Raw genomic sequence first — 12,906 nt, 5'->3', positions numbered from 1 at the left:
CCATCACACCTGGCTAATTTTTTGTATTTTTTAGTAGAGACAGGGTTTCGCCATGTTGGCCAGGCTCGTCTCAAACTCCTAATCTCAGGTGATCCTCAGGTGATCCTCCCAAAGTGCTGGGATTACAGACGTGAGCCACCGTGCCTGGCCCTAATGTAGGATTTCTTCAGGAGCAAAGTAGAAGTGGGAAGGGATATTTCAATCACGTTAGTGCCCAAGCTGGGAATAAAACTACCTCCTAATCCCAGTGGTCCCTGGGAATGGACAGATCTTACTGCTGGTAACTAACGAGAAAGGGAAGAATAATAATGATTGTCATAATCCTAAAATAGCAGCTAACATTCTTTCACCCCTTACTCTATGCTAGATGTTGTATTGAGCATTTTCAATTTCTGAAATATCACAATGAATGAGGGAGATGCTTTATTATCCCATTTTACAGATGATAACTGAGTCCCAGAAGGAAAAAGAAGCAGAGCTACAGTGAACATAGAGGGTTAGGTACATGACCTAAAAGTAATTCAGATTTACTTGTCATTTCAGTCCAGTAAAGAGAATCAAACAACCTCATTTCTATTGCTAATGTGGCAATGTTGACTACAAACAGTAAGATTCCTAATTCTGATTTACTTGTACCATGAGGGCTCAATCAGCTTGCAGGGAGGTCTGAGTAAATGTGAAGCCCCAAACACACAACACAACTCTAGGCAGCAGTGCTGAACATCTTCTCTACTCTGAGCTTCTCACCAGCACTCTTAAAAGGAAGCTCCTAAGAATGTCCTCAGTTCTGTTTTCCTGTTTGTTCTTTAATGAAGACATTAATGATTCAGCAAATGTACCAAATAGTAGTGACAGGAAGAGAAGTTAGCAGGTTTCATTATATTTATATACAGGAAAAATGGATCCAGAAAGGGAAGAATGTTTTATAACTGAAATATAAATACTAGCCTCAGCTACCAATTCTATCCCATGAAACATAAGCAAATAAGACAATCTCATAATCAAAACAATCAATACTTTTCTTGAAGTGACAGTTACAAAAGGAATATATGTTTTTAGAAGGAACAGTGATTTCGCTAGACAAATCAAAGATGACATAGTCTTACACTAATAACATCTTCAGAAGAGGTCTTTGATTTTGCAAAACCAGATCTAGCAATCTTACCTGATGAAAACCAGCTTGACCTTTGATGGGGCAGTCTTAATAATGGCAGATGCATTTTGGTGACTTCTTCCATACAGAATCTGATTGTTTATCTGTTTGGGAAAAACCACAATGTACTAAATTATACATGTCTACAAGTATATATGTATATACTTGGAATTAAATGATAAAGTCTACTGAATTTCTTTTCTTTTCTTTTCTTTTTTTTTTTTTTTTTTGAGACAGTCTCACTCTGTCGCCCAGGCTGGAGTGCAATGGTGCAATCTTGGCTCACTGCAACCTCCGCCTTCTCGGTTCAAGTGATTCTCATGCCTGAGCCTCCTGAGTAGCTGGAATTACCAGCATGTGCCACCACGCCTGGCTAATTTTTTTGTATTTTTAGTAGAGAAGAGGTTTCACCATATTGGCTAGGTTGGGGTTGGTCTTAAACTCTTGGCCACAAGTGATCTGCCTGCCTCAGCCTCCCAAAGTGCTGGGACTACAGGTGTGAGCCACCACACCTGGCCCTAAGTCTACTGATTTTTTTTTTTTTTTGAGGCGGAGTCTCGCTTAGTCACCCAGGATGGGGTGCAGTGGCATGATCTCGGCTCACTGCAACCTCTGCCTCCCAGGTTCAAGCAATTCTCCTGCCTCAGCCTCCCGAGTAGCTGGGACGACAGGTGTGCACCACCATGCCTGGCTAATTTTTGTATTTTTAGTAGAGATGGGGTTTCACCATGTTGCCCAGGCTGGGTTAGGACTCCTGACCATGTGATCCTTAGGCCTTGGCCTCCCAAAGTAAGTCTAATGATTGTTAAGTGGGTATATTAGGACTCTCAAATGCTAAAAATCTTAATATTCTTTGTAGTAGAGATTCAAACAGTAATTCTAAACAGCTATCAAAAATCCTTAAATTCAGTTTTGACTACAGTTAATGAAGAACATACAGTCCTTTATCCTTTTGCTAAACTTCAAGAAAGCAGTAGTTAAGCCTGATACAAAAAGTTTAGGACACATATTTCATTTCCTACAGCTTTCCCAGATTCCTTAAAAATGTTGAAAACAGACCAAATTGTGGTATTCACTGGAGCTCTGGAGAGCCCATTAAACATGATTTTGTAAACATGTCAAGGTTATTACATAACATAAATTTGTTACTCTAGGGAAGGTAAATATTATATCCCTGTTTTAAGTCAAATTTTAAACCAACTACACAGAAAGATTTTACTGAACGCCATCAATGAGTCATATGCTCATATCCAAGACATGGTAGAATTTTAAACTTGATTGGATCTACCAAAAGATGACCTAAACAACATTTAAATTCTAAATTTCTTTATTCCTGATTTTCCCACTGATAAACTATGATGATAGCTGGAAACTCTCTTATTTTATTTCACCCAATTGATAACAGCTCATACAGTTTTGACTTTTTCCTTCTATCTCTTTAAAAAGTAGTTAATGATCTATAACTATACTATTCCTATTCAAGTGTGGCATTGACAATTTCTACTATTTAAGAGATAGTATAGTGTACCATATAAGGGACAGTAAAAGGAATTGCAATTAGCATCTAATTTGTTCTGTCTCTGGAATTTTGCATTTTAAGGCACACCTGATGTTCCTTTCAAGACATCTAAAAATGTTATTTTTTTGTCAAAATAGTTATAATGTGACAGCATGTGGAAGTGAACACTTTAAAATATGAAATGAAAATATAGTATTTTCAACTATCTAAAAAGTGGCCCTTCCATCACCTTTCCTAAGTGGTAAAGCTGGGATTCATATCCAAGGCTGATGGAAAGACCAATCTTGAGCTACCTCCTCACTCTGCCTCTTATTCTATCAGCTTTCGTTCTGCACCAAGATCATCAATCTCACCGGGCACAGTGGCTCACACCTGTAATCCCAGCACTTTCGGAAGCCAAGGGAGGCAAATCACTTGAGGTCAGGAGTTCGAGACCAGCCTGGCCAACATGGTGAAACCCTGTCTCTACTAAAAATACAAAAATTCAGCTGGGTGCCTATAGTCAGCACTTTGGGAGGCTGAGGCAGATGGATCACTGGAGGCCAGGAGTTCGAGACCAGCCTGGTCAACATGGCGAAACCCCATCTCTACTAAAAAATACAAAAGTTAGCTGGGCGTGGTGGTGCATGTCTATCGTCCCAGCTACTTGGGAGCTGAGATGGCGCCACTGCATTCCAGTGTGGGTGACAGACTGAGACTCTGTCTCCAAACAAAAACAAAAACAAAAACAAAAAACAAAAATTAGCTGGATGTGGTGGCACACACCTGTAGTCCCACCTACTGGGGAGGCTGAGACAGGAGAATAGCTTGAACCTGGGAGGCAGAGGTTACAGCAAGCCGAGATTGCGCCACTGCACTCCAGCCTAGGTGACAGAGTGAGAGTCCATCACGCACACACACACACGAAATCATCAATCTCATAGAAAGCACCGATTTCCACACTGTCAGTTCTCTGTGCCTCAGTTTCCCCTTCTCTAAAAGAAATCTAAGTACCTACTTCACAAAGCTATTGTGAGAATTAAACAAGATAATGCCTTTACATTTTATTTAGAGTACCCTTGATATCAAAAGGATTTTTAATTTTTATGGGTTCGAAACTACTCATCTTTGCTATTACGTTTCTTTCTTTTTTTTTTTGAGACAGAGTCTTGCTCTGTTGCCCAGGCTGGAGTGCAGTGGCATGATCTCAGCTCACTGCAACCTCCGCCTCCAAGGTTCAAGCAATTCTCCCGCCTCAGCCTCCCGAGTTGCTGGGATTACAGGTGCCCGCCACCAAGCCCGGCTAATTTTTTTTTGTATTTTTAGTAGAGATGGGGTTTCACTATGTTGGCCAGGCTGGTCTTGACCCCCTGACCTCAGGTGGTCCGCCCTCCTCGGACTCCCAAAGTGCTGGGATTACAGGCGTGAGCCACTGCGCCCGGCATACGTTTCTATTCTTAATATCATGCATTTAAAAATACGTCCACTGTCTAGATTATATATTTTCTCCTGACACTTCAGAGTTCAGCTTTTCTTATATTTGTATCTTCTTACCTACTTAGCTACAAGGGAAATGGTTAAAGAAATCATGCAGTGGCCAGGTGCAGAGGCTCACAGCTGTAATCCTAGCACTTTGCGAGGCTGAGGCTGGTGGATTGCCTGAGCTCAGGAGTTCAAGATCAGCCTGGGCAACATGGTGAAACCCTGTCTTGACAAACAATATAAAAATTAGCCAAGTGTGGTGGCATGCACCTGTAGTCCCAGCTACTTGGGAGGCTGAGGTGGGAGGTTTGCTTGAGCCTGTAAGGTTGAGGCTGCAGTGAGGCAAGATTGTGCCACAGCACTCTAGCCTGGGCAACACAGTGAGACCCTGTGTCAAAAAAAAAAAAAAAAAAAAAAGGAAAGAAAAGAAATCGTCTTTAAAAGTTTGTGAAAAAGCATACTTAATGACATAGAAAATGTTCAAAATATACTAACTGGTAAAACCAAGTTTTAAAATAGTATGTCTAGTATGATCATGTTTTTTGCTGACCATATTTTCCAATCTCGTTAATTTATAATTAACTACAAACAAGGTACTTTAAATCATATTTGAAAATCAGATAAGGCCAGGTGTGGTGGCTCATGCCTGTAATCCCAGAGCTTTGGGAGGCTGAGACAGGAGGATCACTTGAGGAGTCTGAGACCAGCCTGGGCAACACAGAAAGACCCTGTCTCTACAAAAAAATAATAAAAAGTTAACCAGTTATGGTGATGTGTGCCTGTAATTCCAGCTACTCAGAGGAAGCTGAGGTGGGAGGATCGCTTCAGTCCAGGAGTTAAAGACTGCAGTGAGCTATGACTGTACTACTGTACTCCAGGCTGATTGACAGAGTGAGAAGAATGGGGGGCTGGGTGCGGTTGCCCATGCCTGTAATCCCAGTACTTTGGGAGGCCGAGGTGGGCGGATCATTTGAGGTCAGGAACTCAAGACCAGCCTGGCCAACATGGCGAAACCCTGTCTCTACTAAAAATACAAAAATTAGCTGGGCATCGTGTCAGGCGCCTGTGGTCCCAGCTACTTGGGAAGCTGAGGCATGAGAATCACTTGAACCTGGGAAACAGAGGCTGCAGTGAGCCAAAATCGCACCACTGCACTCCAGCCTGGGCAACAGAGCAAGACTCTGTCTCAAAAAAAACAAATGACGTTTGGAATGAGCCTGATTCAAGGCCTGGCATTCAGTTAAGCATTTGTGAATGTCTATGTCTTCCCCACTGTGTTCAGCCTCTGCTTCCAGAAGCTTTTTCTAAATCACCTATCCTACCCTCCTGTCTTTGAATCTTGTGGCACTAGGTTTAAAAAAATTTCTCTTCTTGCACTTATACCACAACACAACATGGTAAAGTCAGTCCTTGTTGGGCAGTAACCATCAGCGCAGGCACGCAACACCTACTGAACTGAGTGGAGCTCCTTAGGGCAGGAGCCAACATCCTCCTCTAGGTGGTTCCCAGCTTTTCATGCATAGCTTGTGCATAGTGGCCCTCAATGAGGATGTGCTGAGTTGCAGTCCTGAATGGAAGTGGTGCTTAATCAACTGCGAGTAGGCTTTCACTAACATGGGCTCCAGCCTTCGAAGTGACTAAGGTTAAAAAAAAAATGGTTTTGATCAGCAAAACGCTTGAGCATGTAGGAAATCTAACTGTTTCATGTTTATGGATATGTCTGCTTCTTTAGTGGTGGTCCTCCATTTTGGTAGAATAGAATCTATGGTACTATTATTCTGAGAGAGAAAAATGAGATCCCAAATGAAGAAAGCAGATCGTTAATTTTAATTTACGTAAGAGGAAATCTGAAGTTATGCCTTTCACGGTTCTGTTTCTAAATGTGCAGAGCCTCTGGCAGTGGAAAGGCAAAGCAGCTTGCTTGCTGTTGATGTTTTTTCCAGTGCCAATACGGGTGTTTATGGCTAAGGCAGCTGCTCCCGGCAACATGCCGAGGCCTCTGGAGAAACTCTGCTATGCAGTGGAAAACTGGGAACAGAGCAAGAAACCCAAGAAAGAGTGAACCTTGATTCAACTGGATTAAATCTAAAAGAAAAATGCTGATCTCTGGATAGAAAAATAAATCCAAGACAAAGACTCTTTTATGGCCTTAAAAATAACACATTTAGGGTTAGGGCTAGGGAAAAAAAAAATAACACATTTGCAGCCATTCGCTTTTAGGAGAGGTCTCTCTTTTGTTTTCTTCTTATTTAATATAAAACAATTTCACTATTTAAATAAAAGTTATACAGCTTCCAACTATTCAAGCAGTTTTCATATTTTTTCATCACTAAAGGAAATATGCTCCACTGAAAATTCAATAACTAGTTGGAAAGAATGATATATTTTATGCACAATTAGCTTTAGATTATCATCTATTGTATTATTGAGAAGCTGTTCTCTGAGGGCATTATTCTTTAAACAACAGATATAGAAAGTCTTCCAAATAATATAGGCAAAAAAAGAAAAAAAAGAATTCTTTTTTGGAAGTCTATTAGGTTAACTACAGTTAATAAAGGCTACCATTTACTGAGTGCAGAACACCGTGCTAAACTCATTATGCACAGTATCTCATTTAGATCTCAGAACAACTGGGGTATGATTTACTTTCACTAGATTATGAAACTATAATTTGCCCAAGGTGCTTTAGCAATTAGTTTAAAAGTCTATAATCCTAGGGCATACCCAGAGGTCATATCATCTGAATGGTACACATAAAAAATGAGATAATTTCTAACAGCCATCTCTATAAAAAGATGAGCAAGAACAGATGGTCACTCTACCATCTTAGGTCTTGGATTTTGAGATAAAAAAGTCAGTATCAACCAAAAACCAGGTCACTACAACACATGGGGGAAATGCCCAATAGTTGACTTTTAAGCTATATTTTGTTTTTTGCTTGCTTTTTTTTTTTTTGAGACAGGTTCTCACTGTCATTCAGACTGGAGTGAAGTAGTATGCACATGGCTCGCTACAGCCTCAATCTCCTGGGATAAAGAGATCCTCCTGCCTCTGCCTCCTGAGAAGCTGGGACCACAGGCATGCGCCACCATACCCAACTAAGACTTTTAGGCTTTTTAAAGTCCCAAATGCAATATGGAGTCCCATACAACTGCACCTTTCTCTTCATGCAAACAAATTGCACCTTGAACAATAACATACCCTTATGACACTTTTTTCAGTATATAGGTACATCTCATTTTATTGTTTTTTTTTTTTTTACAAATGGAAAGTTTGTGGCAACCCTGCATTGAGCAAGTCTACTGGCACCATTTTTACAGTGGCATGTGCTGACTTCCTGTCTGTGTCACATTTGGGTAATTCTCTCAATATTTCAAACTTTTACATTATTATTCTGTCTGTTATGGCGATATGTGATCCATGACCTTCAATGTTATTATAATTGTTTTGGGGCACCATAAACTGTGCCCATATAAAATGGCAAACTTAATTAATCAGTTAACACATAATTGTGTGTTCTGATTACTCCACTGACCAGCTGCTCCCCATCTCTTTTTCTCTCCTCCGAGGCCTTCCGATTCCAAGACACAACAATATTAAAGTTAGGCCAATTAATACCCTACAATGATCTTTAAGTGTTCAAGTAAAAGGAAGAGTCCCACATCTCTCACTTTAAATCAAAAGCTAGAAATGATGAAACTTAGTGAGGAAGGCATGTCAAAAGCTGAGCTAAGCTGAAAGCTAGGCCTGTTGCACCAGTTAGCCAAGTTGTGAATGCAAAGGAAAAGTTCTTGAAGGAAATTAAAAGTGCCACTCCAGCGAACACAGGAATGATAAGAAAGCGAAACGGCCTAATTGCTAATATGGAGAAAGTTTGAGTGGTCTGGATAGAAGTTGGAATCAGCCACAACATTCTCTTAAGCAAAAGCCTAATCCAAAGCAAGGCCCTAACTCTCTTCAATTCTATCAAGGCTGAGAGAGGTGAGGAAGTTGCAGAAGTTGTTTGAAGCTAGCAGAGGTTTAAGGCGAGGAGTCTCAATCTCATAAAATGCAAGGAGAAGCAGCAAGTGATGATGTAGAAACTTCAGAAAGTTATTCAGAAGATCTAGCTAAGCTCAATAATGAAGATGGTTACATTAAACAATAAATTTTCAACAATAGCCTTTCATGTGAAGAAGGATGTGTTTGCTTCCCCTTCAGCCATGATTGTAAGTTTCCTGAAGCTTCCCCAGCCATGAGGAACCATGAGTCAATTAAACTCCTTTCCTTATATGGAATCAACCTAAGTGCTCATCAACAGGTGAATGGATAATGAAAATGTGGTATATATACACAATGGAATAATATTCAGCCATAACAAAGAATGAAATCCTGTCATTTGCAATAATATGGATGGAACTGGAGGCCATTATGTGAAGTGAAATATACCAAGCACAGAAAGAGAAATATCATGTTCTCACTCATATGTGGGAGCTAAAAAAGTAGATTTCATGAAGACAGAGAGTAGACTGGTGATTACCAGAGGCTGGGGCGGGGTGGGGAGGGGGTTTTTTGGGGAGCTGGGAGAGAGGAAGGAAAAAAAAGAATATACCTGTATTTATTACCACTGAGCTGTACACTTAAATAAATGTGGCTACAAAAAAAAAAATCAACATTAACAGGAATTTTGGAGAAGCTGATAACAACTCTCATGAATGACTTTGAGGGGTTCAAGATTTCAGTGAAGGAAGTCACTGCAGGTGTGGTGGAAATGGACAGAGAACTAGAATCAGAAGTGGAGCCTGAAGATGGGACTGGATTGCTACAATCTCACGATCAGACTTGAACAGATGAGGAGCTGCTTCCTATGGATGAGCAAAGAAACTGGTTTCTTTCTTTCTTTCTTTTTTTTTTTTTTTTTTGAGATGGAGTCTCACTCCCCCAGGCTGGAGTGCAATGGTACGATCTCGGCTCACTGTAACCTCCCCCTCCCAGGTTCAAGCGATTCTCCTGCCTCAGCTTCCTCAGTAGCTGGGATTACAGGCGCCCACCACCACACTAGGCTAATTTTTGTATTTTTAGTAGAGATAGGGTTTCACCATATTGGCCAGGCTGGTCTCGAACCCCTGACCTTGTGATCCGCCCACCTCGGCCTCCCAAAGTGCTGGGATTACAGGCGTGAGCCACCAGGCCTGGCCAAAAGTGGTTTCTTGACATGAAATCTCCCGGTGGAGATGCTTTGAACATTGTTGAAATGACAACAATGAATCTAGACTATTACATAAACTTCATTGATAAACCAGTCCTAGACTCCAATTTTGAAAGAAATTCTACTGTGGGTAAAATGCTATTAAACAGCATCCGATGTTACTGAGAAATCTTTCCTGAAAGGAGACAATCGATGTGGCGAATGTCATTGTTATCTTAAGAAGTTGTCACAGCCACCCCAACCTTCAGCAACCACCACCCTGATCAGTCAGCAACCATCAACATGGAGGCGAGACTCTCCACCAGCAAAAAGATGACAACTTGCTGAGGCTTAGATGATCGTTAGCAATTTTTAGAAATAAATTATTTTAAAATTAATGTATCTACTTGTTTAGACATAATGCTAATGCACACTTTATAGACCATAGTATAAACATAACTTTCACATATGCGGGAAACAAAAAAACACACATGACTCACTTATTCTGATACTTGCTTTATTGTGGTAGTCTAGAATGGAACCCATAATCTATCTGAAGTATGCCTGTAAATAAATAGGTTCAATATATATATAGGTTGACTACCCTTTTAGCTTTTTCTGACCCAGCCCCAAGGAAAACAATTAAGATATTTCATTTTGGATCAAATATTGCTCCCCACCTTTCATGACCTGAGTGCTCATTCAGATTATCTTGAAATTGGGAAAATATTATTTTTTTCCATTTACTTCCAGTAAATTGAGAGGTAGAGAAACTAAGTGCCTTTCCCAAAGTTTCTTCTTTCAAAGGTGACTGAATGATATAAAGGAAGAATAATAAATTATGTAGACATGTCTTTATCTTTGATATCATCCCACAATGGTGGGAAGAACTATCTTTATTCCTGATTTGATGCTTCCCAATTTACCCAAATATCTATTTATTATCTTAAAATCCAAGATCTACAACTCTTTCATTCAATGGTAATCATATATCCTGATTTTCCTGAGACAGCCTACTTTATTTATGTTGTTCCAATTACTTATTTATTTATTTATTTATTTTTGAGTCAGGGTCTTGCTCTGTCGCCCAGGCTGGAGTGCAATGGTGCGATCATGGCTCACTGCAGCCTTGACCGCCCAGACTCAAACAATCCTCCCACCTCAGCTTCCTGAGTAGCTGGGACTACAGGTGCGCACCACACACCGGGCTCATTTTTTTATAAAGACGGGGTCTTGCCATGTTACCCAGGCTGGTCTTGAACTCCTGGACTCAAGCGATCCACTTGCCCTGGCCTCTCAAAGTGCTGAGATCACAGGCATGAGCCACTGTGCCGATTAGTAGTTACCCAGTTTGGATGATAAATTATATCTTTTTCCCACATTCATCAAGCCATGACTATGGGAAGTGATTTAATGGCATTCTATCTCAATTTCTATATCACTAAGATGAGAAAGCCAGACCAGATGAGGAATGTAGTAGAGATCTAGGGGGATCTTTGCCAGCACACAACTGCTTCTCTTTGTAAGGGACTGTCCTTCAAATCCTCTCATCACAAATACCATCCTTTATGGTGGGCAGCCAAGTTTGTGTTGCTTGTCATGACACTCCAGGCCACAGCTGAGGAGCATATAACATAGGCTAGGACAACCAAGATTCTCTCTTTAGGGGGTTTTAAATTGGAGCTGAGACAACAGCTAGCTTTTTTACATGTTCATTAAGCTTCTGTGAGATGTCCATATTCTGCCACACAGATGAAGGGACTGGAAAAGCCATCATTTCCCAAAGCCCTGGTGCATCCCGATCTTCAGATTCCAGGAGGGATTCACACCATTACAATAGATTCTACTTTTTTGGTGAAGCTATTGTTATGGGCTGAATTTTTATGTCCCTCTGCAAATTCATATGTTGAAGCCTTAATTCCCAATACGATGGTATTTGGACGTGGGGCCTTTGGGAAGTAACAAGGTCATGAGGATGGAGCCCTCATAGAGGAAATTAGTGCCTTTACACTAAGAGACATAATCTCTCCCTTCACCATGTGTGTGCATACAGCAGGAACATTGTCTGCAAACCAGGAAGACAGCCCTCAACAAGAACCAAATTAATCAGCATCTAGATGTTGGGCTTCTCAGCCTCCAGAACTGTGAGAAATAGATGTCTATGGTCAGCCCAAGCTGACTGGGACAATTATTTGAACTAATTTCTGTTCTTTGCAACCAAAAAGTATTCATTGATATGGTTTCTTAGGCTCCTGCTAATTCTGAATATTAATTTGTAAATCTAACTGACATACCTCTTTCAATCTCCTAGTCTTGTGCTCTTTCAGATGTTCAGTAATTTGCCTTGGCATCCAAAAAGATACAAAAGAAGAAAAAAGAAAAAGGGAAAAAGCTTTCTGTCCAAAGGAGCTTTCTATGCTCTTGACCTACAATTCTGGTTTTCTTATCTGTTTTTAGCTTCCTCATCTGATTACTGACAAAGTGGGCCTTCTGAGGTCTTCCAGATAGTTCTAGTAACTTCTGTCTCAGCTTCATGATGCCTAGTCCCTGAAAGACAGTAATATTTTACCTTAGGGGTGAGTTCATTTTTTTCCCAGGTTCTGAATTTCCAACTCAATAAAATGTCGTTCAGTAGCAAATTATAGTAGCTCTGGATACTGAAGATAACAGCCTCAAATGAGAAATACCTCTATAATCAGGTGCCACATAATAATGCCTCAGTCAAGGATGGACCACATATATAATGGTGGTCCCATACAATTATAATACCATATTTTTACTGTGCCTTTTCTGTATTTAGATATAAAAATATTTACCATTGTGTTACAGTTGCCTACAGTATTCAGTACAGTAACATGCTGCCCAGGTTTATAGCCTGGGAACAATAGCCTTATACCACATAGCCTAGGTGTGGAGTGGGCCACACCATCTAGGTTGTACACTTTATGACCTTCATACAACAAAATCACTCAGTGACGCATTTCTCAGAAATGTATCCCTGCCATTAAGGCCTGACTGTATTTGCAAAGCTTCTAAGCTATATTATAACGGATTTTCATTGTGTTTTGACTTTTCCCCTTATAGACTGGTTTCAACTACTGTAGTGGGGGAAGACAATCTGATATGAGGTAAGTCTTCTTATATTTATGTACCAGAGATGGGATACTTAGTTATAACATTAACCTAGCAGAAGTAGAATTAGGGTTAATCCAGTGAAAATTCAGCAAAAGTAAATGAATTCAAATCCTTTTGTTATACTATACAAACTTTCACTTTAGAGATCTTTAATGAGATTTGTTTCAATAAAATTAACTATTCAAAAATATCATGAAGTGATAGGTTTTCAACTACTGTTAATTTTTTATAGTTCAACTAACATGAATAGAAATTTATACTGGGCTGAACACGGTGGCTCACGCCTGTACTCCTAGCACTTTTGGAGGCCAAGGCGGGTGGATTGCCTGAGCTCAGGAGTTCGAGACCAGCCTGGGGAACATGGTGAAACCCTGTCTCTACTAAAAATAGAAAAAATTAGTGGGGTGTGGCGGCATGCGCCTGTAATCCCAGCTACTTGGGAGGCAGAGACAGGAGAATTGCTTGAACCTG

The 12,906-nt window shown here is 40.4% G+C and overlaps 1 protein-coding gene and 1 long non-coding RNA gene across 22 annotated transcripts in view; one reads left to right on the top strand and one right to left on the bottom strand.

Annotated features, from left to right (window-relative positions):
- Positions 1 to 12,906, bottom strand: part of PATJ (PATJ crumbs cell polarity complex component) — a 421,436-nt gene that overhangs the window by 144,803 nt on the left and 263,727 nt on the right. For 19 of the 20 annotated variants that reach the window (XM_011540462.4, XM_011540467.4, XM_011540464.4 and 16 more), the window contains one exon: positions 1,166 to 1,257. In XM_011540462.4, coding sequence (XP_011538764.1) covers positions 1,166 to 1,257 — 92 coding nt within the window. Of the gene's footprint in view, positions 1 to 1,165; positions 1,258 to 5,584; positions 5,771 to 12,906 lie in introns of those variants that run through there. The other variant, XM_011540469.4, reaches the window with a different exon arrangement.
- The window catches only part of LOC107984965 (uncharacterized), a 45,543-nt gene that overhangs the window by 12,096 nt on the left and 20,541 nt on the right, over positions 1 to 12,906 (top strand). For both annotated transcript variants that reach the window (XR_001738097.2, XR_001738096.2), the window contains exon 2: positions 12,385 to 12,428. This is a non-coding gene — a long non-coding RNA (uncharacterized LOC107984965). The remainder of the gene's footprint in view (positions 1 to 12,384; positions 12,429 to 12,906) is intronic.

This window comes from Homo sapiens, chromosome 1 (assembly GCF_000001405.40).
Source record: "Homo sapiens chromosome 1, GRCh38.p14 Primary Assembly".
NCBI classification, from domain to species: domain Eukaryota; kingdom Metazoa; phylum Chordata; class Mammalia; order Primates; family Hominidae; genus Homo; species Homo sapiens.
This window is presented reverse-complemented; position numbering and strand designations above follow the sequence as displayed.